This window comes from Homo sapiens, chromosome 13 (assembly GCF_000001405.40).
Source record: "Homo sapiens chromosome 13, GRCh38.p14 Primary Assembly".
Classification (NCBI taxonomy): Eukaryota; Metazoa; Chordata; class Mammalia; order Primates; family Hominidae; genus Homo; species Homo sapiens.
This window is the reverse complement of record NC_000013.11, coordinates 58,626,361-58,650,152: the sequence shown is the minus strand read 5'-3', so window position 1 is coordinate 58,650,152 and position 23,792 is coordinate 58,626,361. Positions and strand designations below refer to the sequence as shown.

At 33.5% G+C, this 23,792-nt stretch overlaps 1 long non-coding RNA gene across 1 annotated transcript; it reads right to left on the bottom strand.

The window, feature by feature from the left end:
- Nucleotides 1-6,560: 6,560 nt before the first annotated feature.
- LOC105370218 (uncharacterized) lies at nt 6,561-22,399 on the bottom strand. Its single transcript, XR_941984.3, has 4 exons — nt 22,293-22,399; nt 15,792-15,916; nt 15,476-15,556; nt 6,561-6,800 (listed from the first exon to the last, which is right to left on the bottom strand). It is a non-coding gene; the product is annotated as an uncharacterized LOC105370218 (long non-coding RNA).
- Between the last annotated feature and the right edge of the window lie 1,393 nt (nt 22,400-23,792).

The window sequence follows — 23,792 nt, the reverse complement described above, 5'->3', positions numbered from 1 at the left end:
CCAGAATATCTTAATTATTTTAAAAGTTAAAAAGTAAAATTATATAAGAAAGAGATTATGTCCTTGAATATGCTTATAATGGCTTAGTCCTCTTGTGGAAGTGCATATGCAAGTGCAAATATTTAATTAATAATATAATTTTCTGAGAAAAGTAGAGCCCTTGGTGGAGGATATTCTTTCTTTCTTTTTTTTTTTTAATCCTTTTGGAGAATTTGTTTTACCATTTGGGGGCAGCTGCTTCCCAATCCCATGGGCCTTATTTTCTCACATAGAGCTGAAAATCTGATGTAACTTGACCACGCTAAAGTAGATCAGAGATGCAGCCAAAAGGAATCATTTCTATGGTGTTAGCTGGAGCTAATCTTCACTTCAGGATTCCCTCTTTACAGGCTGTGCAAACCTAGAGCTGTCACTGGACACGTTTGTGATTCCTAGAAATGAAGACCGTACAAAGAAATGAGAGATGAGGTATAGAGAAAGTATATCCTGACTGATGTACAATCTCCAAAATAAGTCCATGAATATTATAAATATTTTCTTGAGCCATCATGCTAATTTTGTTATTTTCTGATTTTGAGTACAGAAAATTAAATCTGTATAAGTGGTTGGATCTCATTTTATATAGGGTTGATCTTATTAATATATTTAGAATATTCACCTTAAATACTGGAATAGGCATTGAGCATTCTTTATAATCTCAATTCTTTGCCTACAAAAATAATCGGACATAGTCAAGTACTTATTTATAGTGGGTTAAGAACTTGATTTAGACAGAAAGGTATTTGGAGAAAACTAATGTCCAGAATGTCCAGAAACTAATGTCCAGAATGTCCAGAATGTCCCAAACTAATGTCCAGAAACAATAATAAACTGTTGCATCAACAAATATGGTTTTCTTTTTATTAATTTTTATCAAAAAAGGAAAGGTAAGGCCAGGCACGGTGGTTCACGCCTGTAATGCCAGCACTTTGGGAGGCCAAGGTGGGCGGATCACCTGAGGTCAGGAGTTTGAGACCAGCTTGGCCATGGTGAAACCCCAACTCTACTAAAAATACAAAAATTAGCTGGGTGTGGTGGTACATGCCCGTAATCCCAGCTACTCAGGAGACTGAGGCAAAAGAATCGCTTGAACCCTGGAAGCAGAGGTTGGCAGTGAGCCGAGATCGAGAACACTGTATTCCAGCTGGGGTGACAGAGCAAGACTCTGCCAAAAAAAAAAAAAAGCAGTGTACCTATATACTACTTCTCTTTTGAGATAGAATAGACTTTATAATAAGGTGCACAATACTATTAAGTCACATTTCTCTGTATATAGCTATTTTACTTCAAAATATTTCATTTTTTCCTCTAAATAGAGTGACTAGTAAATTTTGGTGAAAAAATTAGGAAAATGAGGAAATGACTAGCGACTATTTACTTGTTCATTAATTCAATAAATATTCAATGCCTGCAGTTCACTAGTCACTCAGGTAGACACTGGAAGTAGAACAAAAAGACAAAACAGACCTTCACTCCTAGTCCAGCAAGGAAGACAGGCATTGATCAAATAATCATAAGCGATATAATTATAAAATGGACTGAGGTCTTGGAATAGATGCCATGATAGTCCATAGTGGGGGCTAGATTTTAACTTGGGGTGGGAAAGTGTCAGGAAATTATCTGTGATATAATTATTGGGCATTTTAATATTTTTGAATATTCCATTTACCTTTTCAGGGCAAGATCCTAATTTTCCTTTTGCCCCATTTAACTTTGTTTATGCCATAGTGTTAAAATATGTATAACTATGAATTATTAGAAGCAGCTACATAAAGCTATAAGAAGAAAGACTCTATTTGATATACCATAGCTATTAGTCTAAGAGCAGGGTATTAGCACACTTCTGTTCACAATATAAACCCATTATTGTAGAGGTAAAAATACAAGGCACTTATATTTTGTTTCATTAGTAGTTGACCAATCTATGTGTTGACCAACTGTGTAAAAATGTTAAGCTAAGGAGGCAAAATTATTGAATATAGTAAATAAAAAATGCAATGTAAGTCAGGTGCATCGTTGGAAAATATTTAAAATGAAATCTGAAAGAGTACAAATTTAAGAATAATTGAACATGTTTGTATATATGGCAAACTGAGATTTTTAAAAACTAAAATTATTTAGCCTATTTCCCTTGTTCATAAGGGAGGGTTCTAAAAGCAACTAGAATCCAGGGGTCCTAAAAACTTTATTATATTTCCTATTAATGCATACCATCCTAAAGTTGGAGTTATAAAAAATAGGAATACATTTTATTTCTTTCAATATACTTGAGTTGAGATTTTTAAGATGTGTTTGTTTATGTTTGAAGGTAAGTGAGCAGAAAAACTAGGTGTTTTTGAAAGAGTTTTACAATTATTAGTAATTTAGAAACTATTGATACCTCCAAATCTGCTTCAAAAGATTTTGATTAAGTTTATTTTCATGTATGAAATATGGTTTTATATCTAAGCCTAGCAAGTAGCAATTGAGTCAATTTCAGGAATAGTACAGCTTGTGATGAAAGAGATAATTCTTTTTCAGCTACATTTTCTCCTAATAGTATCTGTTCCAAATATTCCACAGAGTCCCCAGCAGTATAGGTGAATTGATTTTATGAAATATTTGTTTAATTGGAAGATGACTGTCACATGTTGAATTACATAATTAATGTCACAGTTATGACATTTTCCTATAAAATATTTTCATTTCTGTGAATATCAATAGTGTTTTTCCCTTCTAGTATTCATTTTGGCTCTGTGCTTTAAGTCTTTTGACAGAGCTAATCTATTTTCTTTTTAAAAGTGTACTTCTATTATCAAAACCAAATACAAAAAATTTTTCTTTTTCTTGAGCAAATGAGTTAGTTGCCAGTCTGTATCAGGTTTATGAACAACTCATATCCTTCTGAAAACCAGATTTAAATATTGTTTATTTTAGCTTTTTGGGAAAAGCAGTGTGGCATTGTCATAAAAGCATGAGTTTTGGGGTCCTGTAAGTTGGCACACCCCTTGCCTCTGAGGGTTACTGGTCTTGTGTTCTGACATGCAATGTCCTGGGAGCAGTCATCTTGCCTGATTGCCACAGAGCCATTTCCCTGTGTGAAGGTTTCTATCCTGATTCTCAGACAAGAGCCCAATAAGGGGCTGTGTCAAACATTCATAATCTTCACATCTGAATATCTTAGAACATTGCTATAAGCTTTTATGTTGTCAAGATGTTTACTACACAAAAGAACGAGAATTTATTTTAAAAGATCATAAATAGGACATTCAGTGATACAGCCTTTCTTATCCCCTAGCTTGGAATTTGACAATAGGTTGTAAATGCTGCATCAAAAATACCTTTATAATTAATCTCCATTACAGATCATGTTTAGTTAAAAAGAGTAATCGAATGGTTTCTATCACAAGAAAAGGCACAAAAAACTGCTAATGTATAACGTAGTCCTTTTAATGTTACTTCTGATGGTCTGCACTTTTATACTTATGACCCTTTAAACTTTAGTTCCCCATACATAGCATGAGACAAAGTAGTATCAGACCATTCTGATGACTTTTAAAGCTGCTGTTAAAATAGATTTATTTTCATTTACTTAAACAGCAATTCTGCATCTTACCATAGGATTTCATAACACATTATAAATAATCATATTTATGTATCACACACAGGTCTAGGATTGTCTAGATAGATGGAAGAAAATTAAGCACATATATTAACTCGTTGTGGACCATGTATGCTCTAATGCCCTGAAAAGGTGAATGGAATTTTGAGTTCTTGCCAGTGAGTAAATTAAGCACTTGGAGAATTTTCATTTAATGATCTCATGAATCCTCATAATATTCCTTATGAAGTAGATGACAAGTTGTATTAGCCCCATTTGTATTACAAGAAAAATGAGGCCTGAAATTGTTGCAAAATTTCAGTACATAGGTTGAGATATGTGTTTCTATCACAGCCTGGTCCATGGTATGATATCACTGCACAAGAGCCCATCAAAAATACCTTTATAATTATTCTCCATGTGTTATAATTACCCTGTGCGTGTAAAATTACTTTTGAGCTGCCTTCAAATTGAATTTATATCCTTTTACTTTGTATTTTATACCTTTTTATATATCAATAACCACTGTATCCCAAAAGCCATTTCTAAGACTCATATTTTGCATTTTTCTGAGTACAGAGCTTTTCCCATTTGTAGAAATAGCTACGTTAAAATCTCCCAGAAGAGGCCTGGCACGGCGGCTCACGCCTTTAATCCCAGCACTTTGGGATGCCGAGGCGGGCGGATCACGAGGTCAAGACATCGAGAACATCCTGACCAACACGGTGAAACCCCGTCTCTACTAAAAATACAAAAATTAGCTGGGCGTGGTGGCGCACGCCTGTAGTCCCAGCTACTTAGGAGTCTGAGGCAGGGGAATCGCTTGAACCTGGGAGGCAGAGCTTGCCGTGAGCCGAGATCGCCCCACTCCGCTCCAGCCTGGGCGACCATGCGAGACTCTGTCTCAAAAAAAAAAAAAAAAAAAAAAAAAATCTCCCAGGAGATAGACCCATCTTCACCGATCAAATCTTTTAGTTCTGGGCACTACTCAGCCCTCCTTTAAAATATCAATATTGCAAGTGGGTATGGAACCATCATTTAAGTGGTTCTGTAAGTAGTAGTACTATCATTTATAGACCGTTGTGAGAAGACATTACTTCAGCTATCCAGAAACAAGGAAGACACAGAGTCTTAGCTATGGAAGGCTTGCTTATGTAGTCCGACTTAGCAAAGCACTGAAAAAATAAGGACACAATGAGATTAAATGGGAAACATACTGAACAGGAACAAGCTCATTTTGAACTGCCATGCCATTTGATTTCGAATAATCATACAGTCCTCATGTATGAAGCTAAATGTTCTAGTGAAACCTCATTTTACATCATGGTGAAGTAATATAAAATATTAGGCCTTACTAGATTTTTATGTGGAGTTTCATTTTTGCCATTCTTTAGCAAATAGTTGAGATAAACAATTTCATAAAACCTTGATTTGTACATTTGCAATTATGTATTGTGATGGATTATAAAATGAAATTTGGCATGACTTTGATGTTCTATACATTCATATACTTCTATGAGATGAACACTACATTGATACTTTTGGAATGGAGAGTATGAACTAAATACATATAATTTACCTACTTTAAATGAATAATTAGTTGTCTTCCCATTGTCTCCACTGAACTAACCATTACTCTGAAAAATGCTGCAAGTGTAATATCACCTAAGATGATACCTTCTTGCTTCTGGTGTCACTCCTAGAAAGAGTTCTTCGGTTTCTGTAAAAGATACTCCCTTCAAATGCTGAGGCAATAGAGTAGCCACGTGAACAATTAGTAATGGGTTCAGTGTCTAACTCAATGAGGCCTTCAGAATGAAGTTACATATTTATATCATATACATGAAATAATTAAGTTGATGAGAAGTATTACATAGCAGTGATTATCTATGAGAAGGATTGAAGGAGATGTAAGGTGATGGTTAAGGAGACCATTAACTTACTTGCTAATATATTATTTCCTTAGAGTAAAACAGAACACAAATAAACATAGTAGTAATTCATATTTGAGTGTGCTGATATGAATGAGTTTTGATTACATTAAAATTTTGTGCTTTTCTGTGTTTTAAAAAATTTGTTAAAAATAAACTTAATTTATTGGAGGCAAGTAGAGAGAGAAGAAAGGTTAAGAACATAGTTTGAATTATGATTTTGAATCCTGGTGTATACTTACTTTCTCTGTGACTATGAGAACCTTCTTAATCCATCACACCTCAGCCTCCACAACCATTAAGTGGCAAAAACAAATATCACTAGCATTGCTGCAAGGATTCAATGAAATAAAAGGTCTGGAAAGGATTTATCACTATACTTTTCACTTAGCAAGCTTTCATTACATTATTTGTACTTATTGTTGTAAAACAGAAGTCGAATTTTTTTAAAAAAATAGAAATTATTTATATCCTGATCAATTAACTTGTTATAATATATATTTTTGTGAAGATACAGGCTAATAATTCTCAGCTACTAGGTGTCTAAAATTCAATGGTCTGTTTATATAGTATGTGAGCTCTTGGGCTTCCATGAATATGTAATATAAATTATTGATAATTTGAGGATGAATATGCAAACATTACATAGGAAAAATATAATTACTAAGAAAAATGATTAATTTGAATCTTAAAGCATTTAAGAAGACACACATGAATGTTCAGATAGGATTAGAATGTTAATTTGTGGAATAAAATGGTGAAGGATAGAGAAAAGAACTTAACTTACTGGATACTTGTGCCCCTGTACCCAAATTACTGTTCAAATTGGATTGGAAACTTGGAATTTATGTGTTTGTTTTTTTTTCCATGATTCTTTCTTTTCCATTTTTAATGTTATTTTCCTTACTCCTTGGTTTTAATCACTTATTCCTTAGGGGCTTGAACCTACTTTTTTCTGTTATAAGTTTCTAGAAAAAAAGAGGTAAGTGGTATAGTAATAGACTTGGGACTATTTCTTTCTTCCATTTATTTTTGTTTATATTTTAAAATATCTGAAATAGAAAAGAAGTTTATTTTTCCTGTTATAAGAAGCACTGAGTTGGTGCTCAGTGAATAATAAATCATCATAATAAATGTGTTGACTAGATTTCTTGCAGAGCTGCTGAATTCTGGTTTCTATATTGTTGGAGAATGTGGATCTCTTGTTCCATGTGTTACTGCAACTAATTTAAGGAGGCCTCAAGTATCTTCTACAAGAAAAAAAGAGAGCGATTTAAATAAATATGCGAATTCTGAGGAATATATCAATCGTATTCTTTTATTAATTTTCTTCTATTTTTATAAGTATAACCAATATACTTCATCCTTTTCTCTTTCTTTGGGAAATTTGTCATTTGTTTGTTTGTTTCTTTAAGCCATGAATTTTGCACCTCTTTCTTGTTTTTGCTTTTATTCTTCAATTCCATTATTAGTAGGAATAGTCTCTGTTCCACTTCTGTAATGGTGCTATTTTATGACCTTGGATACCATCTAACCCATGTCACTCCTTGTTTTTTTTTAAGTTTCATTCTGTAATAAGATCACTGCAGTGTATTACAGAGGAATATAAAATGAAGGCAGGAATACTAAGACACTACACAACATTGTTCTCCTTTTCATGACATCAAAAAACGATATCAAACAAGTATCAATTACTCTACTCTGCCATTTTAAAAATTGTGAATAAGAAAAGTTTGGATATTTAATTAATTAAAGACATAGAGGAACATTTCAGAATGTTCTTCTACATGTTTGATTGTCAGCCTTATTATATATAAAGTGAACTAAGAAAATCTACACAATAAAAATAACAGATAATTGGGAAGCCAGGGCGGGCGGATCACGAGGTCAGGAGATCAAGACCATCCTGGCTAACACGGTGAAACCCTGTCTCTACTAAAAATACAAAAAAAAAAAAAAAAAAAAAAAATTTAGCCAGGCGTGGTGGCGGGTGCCTGTAGTCCCAGCTACTCGAGAGGCTGAGGCAGGAGAATGGCATGAACCCGGCAGGCGGAGCTTGCAGTGAGCCTAGATCACGCCACTGCACTCCAGCCTGGGCGACAGAGCAAGACTCTGTCACAAAATAAAATAAAATAAAATAAAATAAAGTAACAGGCAATAAAATCTACCTATACATATAATTTTATAAATCAATACAATGATCTAAATGTATGAAAGAGAATGAAAGAAAATAAAGTATAACTTAATAATACATATGTCAGTATGTAATTACACAGATATGACTTCCAGAGAAGATATTATAAAAGTCAGTTCTGGCCGGGCGCGGTGGCTCACGCCTGTAATCCCAACACTTTGGGAGGCTGAGGCGGGCGGATCACGAGGTCAGGAGATCGAGACCATCCTGGCTAACATGGTGAAACCTCGTCTCTACTAAAAATACAAAAAATTAGCCGGGCGTAGTGGTGGGCGCCTGTAGTCCCAGCTACTCGGAAGGCTGAGGCAGGAGAATGGCGTGAACCCAGGAGGCGGAGCTTGCAGTGACCTGAGATAGCGCCACTGCACTCCAGCCTGGGCGACAGAGCTAGACTCCGTCTCAAAATAAATAAATAAATAAATAAATAAATAAAAATCAGTTCTCTGCAACCTATTTCTGACAGCTACAAATATAGATCGATACAGGTGACTTATTAATGGCTTAAATACCATAAGAGGCATTGCCACTGGGGATGTGATTTTCTGAAATAATGAACAGCTTTGAAAAAATGTCATATAATATATGTAGAGTTCTTTCTGGATATACAGTTTTGGGGTTCTCAGAAAATTCAGTGTATATAAAATTTATAAAACAAATACTTTGTGTTTTTATGTAAAATGGAATTAGATTCTAGTTTCAGATAATTTTAAGTAGCATGGGTTTTGTTTTGTTTTGCACTTGAAAGAAAGCTTACTGCTCATACAAAGGGCTGAGTCCTAGTGAGAGCTGGTCTGATATAGGCAGGTTTGGGCTGGTTTGCATAAACTAGAGGAGAGTAAGTTGGGCCTTTACAGCAACAAACAGGTTGGACTGAGACAAGTGTCGATGCAGGCGAGGCTTAAATTCCTGTCAGCTGGCCAGGCATAGCGGTGTGTGCCTGTAATCCCAGCTGCTTAGGAGGCTGAGGCAGGAGGATCACTTGAGCCCAGGAATTTGAGGTTACAGTGAGCTATGATCATGCCACTGGCCTGGGTGATAGAGAGAGACCCTATCTCTAATGAATAAATAAATACATAAATTTCCTGTCATTGCCAAATAGGGAGACACACACATGCAAGTGTATTCTTATCAGCCTGTTAAATTGTGGTTCTAAAGAAGAAAGGAAGGGTGAGGCTTTTAGAAAAACCTGTGGTTTACACACCTGACATGGAGCCCGACTCTTTATTACAATATTCCAAATTTGAGACAGCATAACTATAAGTGTACTGCTATTACTACTACTATTATGACTTATAATAATAATTACTACTATGTAACACTATAATGTAGTATATATAATAAGATAGTATAAAATAGTATCCTATTATTAATAGTAATAATTATATTAGCAGTAATGATAGTATTTATTGACAGTACTGATTTTTATTTTGGCTGGGAGTGGTGGCTCACACCTGTCATTTCAACACTTTCAGAGGGCAATGAGGGAGGATTTCTGGAAGCTAGGAGTCCAAGACCAACCTGGACAACATAGTGAGAACTAATCTCTACAAAAAATAAATATTAATAATTATCCAGGCATGATGGCTCATGCCTGTGGTCCCAGCTACTCAAGAGGCTGAGGTAGGAGAATCTCTTGAACCTAGGAGGTCCAGGCGACAGTGAGCTATGATGTGCCTCTGTATTCCAGCCTGGGCAACAGAGCAAGACACACTCCCTCAAAAAATTTTTTTCATCTAGTGTCTTCTATGTGTCAGGCAAGATATTAAACACTTACATATTATCCTTTAATCTTTATAATCCTAACACAAAACAAATATCATTATTTCCACATTTGAGAGAGGCAAAGATTAGAAAGACATGAAAAACTTTACTCAAAATTCTTAAGGCTCAACAATTACTAACAATCATACATTTGACTTTGTAAAATTTATCTCATTTTCAACTGAGACACACTCACGTTTTAGAACTCTATATTACCTTTTAGAACTCTATATTTCAATTACTTAGTGTCTTTCTTGTAGAAACAGGGTTTCAAGCTAAATAAATACTCCATGTGACATTAAAATGTTGTATGGGATGTAGGAAAATCTTTATTGTATAAGGCTGTCTCACCCAAACCATCCTCACCTTCGAAATGACAATAATATCCCCCAATCATTAAGACAAAAAAACTTCTACACACCTTAGAACCCATGGAAAAGCAATTCTCAAGGAAAAACAAATGTTAACAACCATCGACACTGAAATATTCCTGATAAATCCGTAAGAAAACATTTATGTTTTGAATGGTGTCTTTAGGGTGCCATCATAAAACTTAAATGCATTAATTTCTTTTTCTTCATAGTTTTTATAAATTATGTCACCAAAGTTTATTTATGTAATAGGGTGTATGCTGCATGAATGAAGAGAGACAACAATAACAATATTACCCCCATCAAGTTTACTTAAGGACTTTTCAGAAATCAATACTTCATTTTTCAAAGCATAAAATAGGCCTACTGGAATTTCAACTGTCTACTTACTTAAAAATGTATATGTAATTTTGTCAATCCTAGAACACTACTTTTCTGTGCATATACCTTTATTTCATTTGTATGAGGAGCACCTTTTATAATATGCGCCTTTCCTGGGTTGCGTAAAGGATATCCTCATACTCACCCTCATGACCAACATAGTGTTACATACTCTATAATCCATTATCACTGTAACTATAGGTTTTAAAATCAATTTGTGTTTCAGCCAATAGGGGATTTACAAATACAGAAAGATGATAATATAGTGGTATATTCATGAAGGGAAATGAGGACCTCACAGTATTCCTGAGGGCCATTTGAATAGACTGACAAAAAGGACAATCATGTTACAGACAGTTAAGAAGAGAATAGATGATAAAGAAGTGAAAGTGGTGTTAGCGCTTACTAATTATCAGAGAAAAATCTGAAAATAGAAGGATGAAAATAAAGCAGACAATTGCTTGCCAAGTAGCAGTTTCATGTAATTTTTTTGCTGAAAACTACTCAATTTTTATAGCTTAGCATTCTCTAGAGATGTTAAAAATTGCAATAATATTTAAGGAAAAAAAGGAAAGAAGATCTACAATGAACGATATTATAGATTACATTTATCTCTTAATTTTATGTTTGTATGTATATACGTACATATAATATTTGGAAATATCAAGATTGAAAAATCTAAGATTGACAATTATTTTGACCTTGTGGAAAAATATTTTATTCAGTCTTCAAAAGTGCAATGAAAACATCAAAAATTTTCTCTATACTAGCAGTTTTTTAAACAAATATATCTAGTTTGAACAAAAACAATTTTTCAGACAGCATAATTCATCTTATCTTCTCATACCTATGCACAGAGGCATAATGTTAATATATTCAGGCCCTTTGATTGGAGACTTAACATTTACACTGGCATAAAACATTAATACTATCATCCAAGCATGAAAATTCCAAATTAACAGGAACCAATGCTGCTATTCAGGCAAATTGGGAGTTAGTATGAGAAACAGAAGCAATTCTATAACACATGGTTTAACAGGATATTAAAAATATAGATTTAAGGTTTATTCTTAATATATGATAGGACAAGGCGTTAATCCATTTGCCATCTCTGCTTTGAATTATGCTTTCTTTCCATGAATTTAATATGTATACCCAATGAGGATTCCAGGCTCTGAATCCAAACTGCTTAGCTTCAAATCTCACTCTGCCAAGTAACATTGGGCAAACTTCCCAAAAATGCTGTGCCTCAGTTTCCTCACCTTTAAATGCGATACTAATTTTGCTGCTGTTCTAGAGATGACACACTTGGAATATGAGAGGCAGACAGTGAAGGTGAACAAGTTTTATTGCTTTCTTTAAAACCAAATGATTTAATTGAAAAGTCAAAAATGATTAATGGTAATCTATACAACTACACAAAATAGTTGTTTAGGTAGAAAATTATCTATCATATTAATTAAAATATTATCATTTAATTACTAAAGTTAATATTTTTCTTTTTCTCCAAAATTCAAAGACATTGTCATTTTGCTGTGTTTAAGCATTTTTCTTTCTTTCTTTTGTTTGATATATCAGTCTTAACAAACGTAGTCAGCAACAACTTAATCAAATTTTTAAATGAAAGTAGTGCATCTTTAGCTATCATATATATTATTTATATTAACTTCACGTTTGAAATCCACCCATTTGAATTTTTGTTTCCAATTATTTCTATCTTTGTGTACTCTTAGAAAAGTAATGAATGATCCAAATGTCTTTCCTCACAAATTTTAGTTTGCAATGATGAAATCACTCCTGAAGCCAGGAATACAGTCCACAGGAAGGGAAGACACTAATGAAAATTAACATTCCAAAAGAATCTACTGCAGTTGTCATCATAAAAAGAAACTGATTAGTGGTTTGGACAGTGCTAACTCTGTAAATTATCAAACAAAATTCTGCAGAAGCATCCATTTACGTATATGAAAATTATAATTTGAACATCACACTTAGAGCACATTAATCAACTTCATTCTTTGTTTTTATGGGTAATGAGGCTTAACAGAAAGGTAAACAGCCAGCTAAATAAAGTTGCTTTAGTAAAAATGGATTAAATATATTCATACTTTGTAAAAAAGAAATGTGCTAAGAGGTGTATAAATAAAGGAAGCATTCGACTGGTCATTTATTTCTATTTTTAGTTTCTACTTAGGTTTTCCACTTTCTGGCTTCTTAATTTTTTATCTTCTATCTATTTCAGTTTCTTTCACAGTCACTGTATCTGTTAAGTGAATTATAGGACTTTAAAAACTGATTAATATAAATATCCTACCACCTTTTATTTAATATCTAACGTATAACCTTAATTAAAATATGTTGGTTCTTAAAAGCTACTCAACTCTTACATAATTTGTTGTAGGGCTATAACAGTAACTATTCCCTGTGGTGAAAATGGGTTGAATTATTTCTAATAAATTTTTCTGTCTTGGATGTAATAATTTGTATAAAGAAAGCTTCTCTTTTCATGAGAGTTTTTTATATTTATATATATATAACTTAATTATTACCCTTACTTAAATAATTCTTCTAGATCAAAGTGTATCAACTCTTCACTGTGTGATTACATGTACTAAACATTTTCAAATATCCTCCTGCTAGCACCAACTTAGAAAAATTCAGGAAAGTCAACAATTAACATATTAATTTTAATTATATATATTATATATATATATATATATATATATATAATGGAAACAATGTAGAATACGGCTAATCTGTAGTTCTGATAATCTATGGGAAAATGGATTAGGAAGATGAATAAGCCAAACATTCACATAGTGAAAGAATAATTGTTTCTTTAACTATGTATTGACTACTTAATATGCACTAGGGATTGGAAAGGTAGCAGTGAACAAGGTTTAGATGACTGGCAAATATGGCACTGACTTGTACTAACCAATGGTGGAAAATCACTGGGGAACTGAGAATACAGCAAGTCAAAGATATCAGTGAGAGTACTGAAAAGCAGATGATTATATTTCAAATATAAAAGGTACAATTTCCAATGTGCCTATGCCTTAATTATTTTTTGTCTTGGTCAACTTTCTTACAATGGATTACAGAACAGTACTTTGGCATCTCTTTTTCAAGTGTCAAGTGTATACATTCCATTATGAAGATTACTTGAGAATCCCACTCCACTTTTTATTTGTTATATATTTTTTTTTCTGGTCAGTGTTTTCAAATTTGTCTCAGGCTTTATGATTATAACCCCTTAATTATTACCCTTACTTAACTAAATTCTTCTAGATCAAAGTGTATCAACTCTTCACTGTGATTACATGTACTAAACATTTTCAAATATCTTCCTGCTAGCACCAACTTAGAAAAATTCAGGAAAGTGAACAATTAACATATTAATTTTTACACAAAACAATAATATTTTTCTAGTGTTTATCTTCATATGAAGTAATGTTTTTCTCCACATAAGGTGTGCTAGAATACATGGGTGGATGTTGTAAAATTAAAGTTAACAATTCTGGTTTATTCCAAATTTGGGGAAGATGAAATGCATTGGGTTTAATAAAGAGAAATTATATTTGGTGGGGAAAAATAATCTTAATTTTTAGAGAAGTAAATTAACCAAAAAGTGGTCATCTTTGTGGGTGATCTGGTGCATTATTTAAAATTGTAGTACATACTTTTTCTATTGTTTATGTTTGATAACTTTGAGTTAGATATACAGAAAAACTTTTATGTTTATCATACTCAATTTGTACATTAACCACAGCCACGCTGCTTGTACACTCAAAGGAATAAAAAAGGCAGATTAGCAATGTTTACCTTAACCTTTTAACCCATAGTGTTTCTTATATGCACGCTATCAGTCTCTAGATGCTCAGGCAGAGTAGAGGGATAAATATTCACTTGGATCTTTTCCATCTTTTTGACTAATGTTTTCCTTGGAAAAGTATATGCATATAGGAAACTTCTAAAACAAATCCCACTTACTGGTCAATTTTTGCAGTATTTTTCTTCAAAGAGCTTCTGTCTTTAAAATTATTTGAAAATGCTTTTTGTCTGCCACACCATTAATCAGTGATGACTTACCCAGCAACTTATATGTTACAGGAGATATCCTAATTTGATTTTCTAAAATTGTACCTTGTCAGTGCCAAAGTGAACAGATGCTTTGGTGGTGGTTCCTTTCATGATCAAGGTTATACACACACTTTTCACATAGAAAAAAGTCTTTTCATTATGTCATTTTCAATATGTGGTTCTACAAAAAATATTTCTCCTATTTCCCTGTATACATTTACTTAATAATTTCTTTATTCTATATAATAGCATAGTACACATATGTCATTTCTTTTATATTTCCAGTGTTAGGAGTTAATGTTGGTGCTATAATTAGAAATCAAATGACTTTCAGAAATAGTGCTGTATAGACTGTGGGAATATAGGAGACTGTTAGTGAGAAGAGAGTAACATGGGTGGAACGGCCTTCCCTGGTTTTGTCTTTCTTCTTGTAGCGTGTAAGAAGTATGAAATCAGACAAACTGAAAATTAAATTTACCTTCATATAATCACTGTATGCTTTCCAACACCAATTATGGGCCTAAATTACAAAGGTGGAGTTCTTATCATTCTGTATATAATTTTTACCTTAGTGGTGGAGAATAATTTCTGAAGTTTTTTGAAGAGTTTTCACCTCCAATAAGCTCATCCTTAGAAAAACAAGTTTTCCTGTTTTTCTCTCTCCTCCTTTCTCTTTTGTAAGATATCTATTTTTAAGATATTTAAGATATTTCAAGTTAAACGTGCCAGTTTCAGTGAAGCTTATAATGTAGGAAACACTGTTAATCTGTGTAATATTTTGAGACGATTCTGCTTTAAAATGCCTTGTTGTGCGTAGCCTTTTCTAGATATTTGCAATGCTATTCTCTTTGTTAATGATTTATATTTTGTTTTCCAAATGTTTGCCTACTTGTTTGTTTTGCTGACTTACTTGCTTCTTTGTTTTAGCATGAAAACTGTATCAATTAGTTTTGGTTAAGTTATGCTATAGTAATGAGCCAGTCTCAAAACTCAAAAACCTACAACTACAACTTCTTCAATTATAGTTGATGTCTTTTGTGGGCTGTCTGTGTTTTTTCATGTTGGGACCTAGGCATGTCCTCCATGGGGAATGTCCTAAAGCTCAAGGAAAAGGGAAAGGAAGCCATGGTGATACCATATGATGACTCTTAAAACTTTGGTTGAAAGTGGTTCTCATCACTTCTGCTCACATTTCTTGGCCAAAGCAAGTCAATTCCTATAAGCAAAATGAAGAGAAGGGAATAATTTGAAAAAATAATACGACTAATCACAGAGGAATTTAAAATAAATGACATGGCCAGATGCAGTGGCCCATGCCTGTAATCCCAGCACTTTGGGAGACAGAAGCAGAAAGATCATTTGAGCTCAGGAGCTCAAGACCAGCTGAGCAACATGATGAGACCCCATATCTACAAAAAATACAAAAATTAGCCAGGCATGGTGGCATGCACCTGTAGTTCCAGCTGCTCAGGAGTCTGAGGTAGGAGGATCACCTGAGCCCTGAGCCCGGGTGGCTGAGGCTGAAGTGAGTCAAGATCGCATCATGGCATTCCAGCTTGGGAGGCAGAAAGAGACCCTGTCTCAAAATAAATAAATAAATAATATTAATAAAATAAAATTACAAAGAAAAAAATGAAAATATATAATTGCCCAAGACCTTTCTAAGAGTAACAACTTGCAGAAAATTTGTGGGATTGTACCTGTACTAAATGCTCCTCCTAAGGTTCTTTTCCTTGACAGAGAGTGATTCCATGGAATATTACTGTGGTTAAACAATTTGAATTTGTGCTTATTGATCTCAATCTCTGAATATATCTGCTCTTAGCTGGAAGGAAATACAGAACATCACCTCTTCTTTGGATGGTTTCAGTGGGTGTCTTGGTCATTTTTTTACAAGGTGTAAAACATCTGCCTTTTCCTTCACTGACAGCCTAACTTATTTATTTAATGGACTGTGATTGATTCAAAACATAGTTGCTGCCAATTATTCAGAATTTATACCACTGGACGAAAAGCTTGTTCCAGTGGCACTTGTTGAAGGCCATGTTATACCACTAAGCTAACTCCGGTTCACAATGCTTGTCAAAAATAAAAACTTACCTTCTTGGACTAGATTTCTTTTCACCACTCATAATTTGAAGTCAACTAAAACAGGGCTCTTAACATCTTCCTTGCTGAAATATGTCTCTGCATGTGGTCTCCCTTTGAGCTACAATACACCTGCTTCAAGGAACTCCTCTACGTCTATTGATATTGGCTTCAGGTTTAAGTTTGAACTTAAGATGTGTTTGTTGTCATTGTCACTTACCTGATTTTAACTAATTAACTCAGCAGGAGAGATAACGTTTTTAAGTTTAATGTCATTGCAAAGCACCTTGAGATACCACAGCATGACAAGATGACATAAAAGTTAGTGTGTATACGCCTCCACCTTCTTTTAGAGTTAGGCACCCTGGTGGTTTAGACAAATGCATTGGTTGTTCAAATGGAAACTTGATACTAAAAGCCATGGGGAGAAAAAAGACTGAATTCTAATTTGATGTTTCCAGTCTGTTAGAAACATAAAGAAATGGGGGAATCAGTTATAATTCCTATGGATCCTTGAAATCAGATAGAAACTACTGAGATGTGGAATAAATTCCTGGGACAAGTGCTTAATGATGCTGTCATTCTTATCCCATCTCATCTCTTTTTATAAATACTATGGTATATTATTTTTAGCCAGCATTTGTATAAGATTAACATTTTAAAACTTCTTTCACATAAATTATTCTTAAAGTTTCTGTAACTATGTTGTATTATTATTATCTCCATGTTACAAAAATAAATAGAATTCTAAAAGTTGAATAAAATTATCCAAATATATAGAAATTATAAAGGAAAGTAGCATTGAGAATCAAACTCAGATATCTTCTTAACTAATGTTGCTTATGTGGATTATTTTAACAATTAAAATTGTGCAATTTTATAAGAAGTGAATGGTCTAGGAAACAAATACTATGTCTATAAAAATTACACTAGTGGATATCTTGGTTGAAATATTGTGGCCGGTGTGGTGGCTCACGCCTGCAATCGTAGCACTTTGGGAGGCCAATGCAGGTAGATTGCTTGAGCCCGGGAATTCGAGACCAACCTGGGCAACATGGCAAAACCCTGTCTCTACAAAAAATACAAAAATTTAGCCAGCTGTGGTGGTACATGCCTGTAGTCCCAGCTGCTCAGAGGGCTAGGGTGGGAGGATATATTGAGCCTGGGAGGCAGAGGTTGCAGTGAGCAGAGATTGCACCACTGCACTCCAGTATGGGCAACAGAGCCAGACCTTGTCAAAAAAAAAAAAGAAAAAAAAGAAAATGAAGAAAGAAATATTTACTGGTGGCACCATAAAGCATAAACTAAGTTAAATCAAATATTTATTACATGTTGCTCTGGTTTATAAAATAAATTAGAATATACAGATATCCAAGCACTCATAATATGTATGGAATATTATTAGGAAATGAAACTTGTGCATCATGGTATACTTGGAAAAGACATGTGATTTTAAATATGGGCTTATATTTATAAGAAACTCATTGAATTATCCTGTTGGACTTTGATAGTATTATGGGAAAATATGTTACAAATTCATAGGTAACAAACTCTTCCTGTGTGCATATGAAATCAAATGAGAAAAGGCCAGTTTATTTTCAAGTTTCCTATTTTTAGAAATGAAATTTTTTTAAAAAAAATATTGAGTGTCTCAAAGGCTAGTTGTACATAAAGTACTTGATGATGGGGTATTAAAAGCCATGACACAGAAGAAGAAGAGAATCCAGATTCCTCAAACTCTGGGGCAAAAGGGAACATGCATGTAAAATGTAGATAGAAACTAAGGTAGAACAGATATGAAAACCAACGGAATATAGGGCCAACAAAAAGACAGTCTCTAGTTAGTATTTAAGCTAACTGCAGGGTAGTTTATAGGTTATATGCTAATATGATTAGAAGAATATCTAGGATAACACTTTGTAGTTAACTATTCAAAGAGGAAAGTGGATTACTAGATTGGAAAAAAAATCAAGATTTAAATGTCACACCTAAACCAAAATCAGGATTGATATGTCTTCCTTTTCCTTTTGTAATTTGGACCACTGAGAATGTCTTTTACTGCTAGATTTGATTTCCCTAGAGTTAAACATTATGATTTTAGAGACATTCAAGTTTTACCTGGATGTATATGTTAATCTGTTACTCATGGAATTAAAGTGTCATAAATGAAATCACTTGACCAATATTTTTCTGAATAATATGAATTATTTAATGAATAAATTAGAATATATGTTTTATTATATGTATTAGTTTGCTGGATTTTTAAATTGAGAATATTTTCAAAATAAATAGCAAGCTATGTATAGGATAACCAATGCATTATGTAGATTTAAATGTTCGGCTTGAATATATACGTAAAGTTTCCTTTAAAAGAGTTGCTTAAATAGTATAATGTACATATTTATATTCATGAATAATGCATTCTAAAGGTCAGTATTTTATTTATTTTCTGCTCTTCAAAATCAGAGAGAGCTGCCTACCTGTCATTCTAAGAGAGAATGAAAAAAATATATTATTAGTAAACAGGCAATGTTTGTGGAAAATTTTTCCAATAAGGATATAAAACTTCTTAGGGGTATTTATGCAGTAATAGGTATATAATCATTTACCATTAGTAAGATGTGAAAAGGCCAGTTCTATATAATGGTTTTTCAGGGGATGACATGCCAAATAAGTGATTATGTCAACAAGTGGTCAACCTAATTTGATCACTCAAAAGATATGGCGAAAACAGCCCACTCACTTTAGTCATCTTCATGACTAAATTAGCTATCATCACTTAAAAACTATTATCTATCATTTGCTGAATGTTCACAATCTGCCTAGTACAAGATGACTCTAAGGCAAAAATCTACTCCAAAGATACTAAGAAACTTTTAGTGAAGACCTGATGAATAAATAGATTTAGACAGATATAAAGAAGCTGTGAAAGGTTTCTTATCAAATAGAACAGAATACCCCACAAGGTCCCCCAAAAGAGTGCAGTATACCTTATAAACTGAGGAAGTGCCATTTGGTCAAAGTATAGATTGGAGTATGAGCAATATATTTTATAAAGAGAAGCTAAAGAAGAAACAAGAGTTATAGCATTCTTAGTTTTCTATTTGTGCATAACAAATTACTGCAAAATGAGTGGTTTAAAATCACACTCATTTATGATATCACAGTTTCCATAGGTCAGTCCAGGCAAAGATCATCTAGCCAAGGTTTCTCTAGGCTAAAATCAAGGTGTAAGCCAGGGCTAGGCTATCATTTAAGGTTCTTTCAAGGTCATTTGGGTTGTTGACAGAATTCAGTTCCCCAAACTTGTAATACTGATTTCCCAATTTTCTTGTTAAATGTAATCTGGGGATGCTTTCAGCTCCTACAGGCCATTTTCAGCTCCTAGACATGTAATACTCTCACGGCTTGGGAACTTACTTCTTCAAAGCCAGCAGAAAACTCTTTCCCATCTGCTGATAACACAGAAAAATCCCAACTGGGACTATCCCACTACTTTTCCCATATGATGTAACACAATCAAGAGAACCCTGATTCTATCATGCTTACAAAAACTCTTCACACTCAAGGAAAAGGTATTACACAGAGCCTATTTACTAGGGAAACTTGAAGGTCATCTTAGAAATCTCCCATTGACCTTTATGCATAAAATTAGTTAGACCGCAACAAGACAAAGAAGCAAAACCTGTCAGAGCCTGCTGCAGTTTTAAGATGATTGTGAGGTAAGGAAACAGGGATACTAGATGAAATAAAGATTATATATCTTTGAGAAATAGTTACTTAGTAGAATAAAAAAAGATCAAAGATCATTTATTGGTTGGGGAATAAAAACTAAGGGAAAATTAAGAGTAAAGGATGTTCCCAGGTTTCTGGCTTGGATGTTGGAACATTGGAAGACATAAGAGGAAGAGAGAAAAGTTTTATGAGTGCAGGCACTTCATTTTTAAAATAATGTTTATTTATTTTTTTAAATTCACTAGCTGGATAGATATTGGCTTATTTTGAATAATTTGGCTACTTAGAAGTTCCTTACTCTTTTTTCTCTAGTGCACTGCATTTCTTGGTGTAGATTCAGATTACTGTCTAGTGTCATTTCTTTTGAGCCCAAAGGATGCGAATTTCTTTTAGCATTTCTTTTAAGACAGATATGCTAATGACAAATCTTTTGTTTTAAATTTTTTTATAATAACTCTATTTTGTTTTATTTTTGAAGAATGGCTTTTATAGATATGGAATTATTGGTTGACAGGTGGTTGTCTATTTTTTTTCCACCACTGTAAATACATAATTCCACTTCCTTTTGGCCTCTGTTGTTTCAAATATAAAATTAGCTGTTAATTATAGTGGTGTTTGGCTATATGTAATGTTTCATTTTTCTCTGTCTTCAAGAAATTTTTTTGTCTTTGTCTTTAAACAATTTGATTATAATATTTAAAGATGTGTATATATTTTAGTGTATCCTACTTTAAATTCACTGAACATATTGGATGTGTATATTAATGTTATTTTATCAGATTTGAAAGTTTTAAGTCATTATATATTCAAAGATGTTTTTGATCTTTTCTCTCTCTCTTGGTTAGGTCAAGCAGAAGACTGAAAAACTAGCCAGAAACTTAGTAGGGAGATCTGGAAAATGAGATAACTATAGTGAACCTTAATAAGCTTTCATATTCCTGATACTCCCATGTGAGCCTGTTGGTATATTTTATGGTGTCTTAGGGGTCTCTGTGGCTCTTTTCAGTTTTTTTCATTTTGTTTTTCTTTCTGTTCATCAGATTGTGTAATAGATATTGAGGTATTACCAAGTTTACTGATTCGTTCTTTCATCAGTTCACATTTTCTGTTGAAGTTTTAATTTCAGTTGTACTTTTCAGTGACAGGATTTTCATTTCTTTATTTTTATAACATCTATCTCTTTATTAATATTTGCTTTTTTGTGGTACATCATTAATACTTTCTTTTAATTTTTAAACATGGTTTGTTGTGGTTCTTTGAAAATATTTATAATGGCTTTTTTGAGATTATTTTCTGCAAAGTCCAGGATTTGGGACTCGCAGAGACAGTCTATGACTTCTTTTTTTCCCCTGATTATGAAGTGTTCTGTAAACGTCTATTAGGTCCATTTGGTCTATAATACAGATTAAGTCTGATGATTCGTTGTTGATTTCCTGTCTAGACAATTTGTCATTCCTGAAAGTGGGGTGCTGAAGTCCCCAACTCTTATTGTATTGGAGTTTGTTTCTCTCTTTAGTTTTAATAATATTTTCTTTATATATCTGAGTGCTCCAGTGTTGAGTGCACACATATTTACAATTGTTATATTCCCTTGCTGAATTGATCCCTTTGTCATTATGTAATGACCTTGTCTGTTTTTATGATTTTTTTTCACTTACAATCTATTTCATAATAGATTTTGTACTCCTGTACATTTTTGGTTTCCACTTTCATGGAATATTTTTTTCCACCCCTTCACTTTCAGTCTACATGTGTCTTTATAGGTGAAATGTGTTTCTTATGGGCAGCATACAGTTGGGTCTTGCTTTTAATCCAATCAGCCAGTCTATATTTTTTAATCAAGGAATTTACACAGTTTCTATTCAAAATTGTTATTTATAGGTAAGGACTTACTCCTGTCATTTTGCTAATAATATTCTGATTGTTTTGTACATCCATTTTTCCTTTATTCCTCTTTATTGATTATCTTTAAGATTTGGTGGTTTTCTGTACTTGTAACATTTGATTCATTTCTCTTTTTCATTTTTGTATCTGCTCTACCAGTGAGTGTATTAGTCCATTTTCATGCTGCTGTGAAGAAATATCCAACACTGGGTAATTTATAAAGGAGAGAGGTTTAATTGACTCACAGTTCTGCATGGCTCGGGAGGTCTCAAGAAATGCAGAATCATAGTGGAAGGGGAAGCAACACGTCCTTCTTCACATGGTGGCAGGATAGAGAAGTGCCAAGCAAAGTGGGGAAAGCCCCTTACAAAACAATCAGCTTCTGTGAGAACACACTCACTATTATGAGGGCAGCAGCATGGGGGTAACCTCCTCATGATTCAATTACCTTCTGCCATTTCCCTTCCACAACACATGAGGACTAGGGGAACTAAAATTCAAGATGAGATTTGGGTGGGGACGCCGCCAAACCATGTCAGTGAGTTTTATACTTTCACATGTATTCATGATGATAGATATTGTTCTTGTTCTTCCAGATGTAGGACTTCCTTACGCATTTCTTGTAGGGCCAGTCTGATGGTGTCGAATTCCCTCAGTTTTTCTTTTCCTGGAAAAAACATTATTTCTTTTATTTCTGATAGATAGCTTCATTGGGTATATTTTTGACTGGCAGGTTTTTAATTTTTTTTTCTTTCTTTCTTTCAGCACTTTGAATCTATTATCTCATTTTCTCTTAGCCTGTAAGGTGTCCCCTGACCAATATATTAGCCTGATGGAAATTTCCTTATTTGTGACTTGATGCTTTTTTCTTGCTGTTTTTAGGATTCTCTCTTAGTTTTTGACTTTTGACATTTTGACTATAATATGTCTCAGCGAAGACCTTTTTGGATTGAATACATAGGGGAATCTTTGGGCTTTTTGTATATGGATGTCAATCTTTCTCACAAGACTTTGGAAGTTTCAGCTATCATTTCATTAAACTGGTTTTCTATGCTTTTGCCCATCTCTTCTCTTTCTGGAACTCACAGAAATTCAAATTATTTTGCTTTATGCTGTTCCATAGATCAAATAGACTTTTTATTGTTTTCCATTCTTACTTATTTCTTATCTGACTGGGTTACTTCAAAAGACCTGTCTTCAAGTTCAGAAATTCTTTTCTCTGCCTGATCTTGTCTATTGTTGAAGATCTCAATGTATTTTTTAAATTCAATTCATTGAATTTTTTAGTTCCAGAATTTCTGCTTTGCTCTTTTGTATAATATATATCTATCTGTTGACTTTTGTTCTCTTGTATCTAACAAAGTTTCCTTAATTTCATAATTTTGGATTCATTTTCAGGCATTTCAAATACTTCCTTTTTGGGATTTGTTATTGGGGAATCATTCTGTTTCTTTGGAGGTGTCATGTTTGCTTGCTTTTTCATGATTTTTATGTTGCTGTGTTGATATCTGCATATCTGGTGTAAAATTATTTCTTCAAATTTATGGGTTGGTTTTTACTGAAAATACTTTTTTGTAGACATATCTATAGTGCTGATTGTGTAGGGTACTTTGGATTTGATTCTGAGTCATAACAATAGGGTAGTCTCTGTATAATTGCTTCAGCTGCAATCAACATCAGTGGTGTCTGTGAGTTCCTCAGTTGCTTATGATGCAGTTTTTAATAGAGGTTGTGGCGAGGCTTTG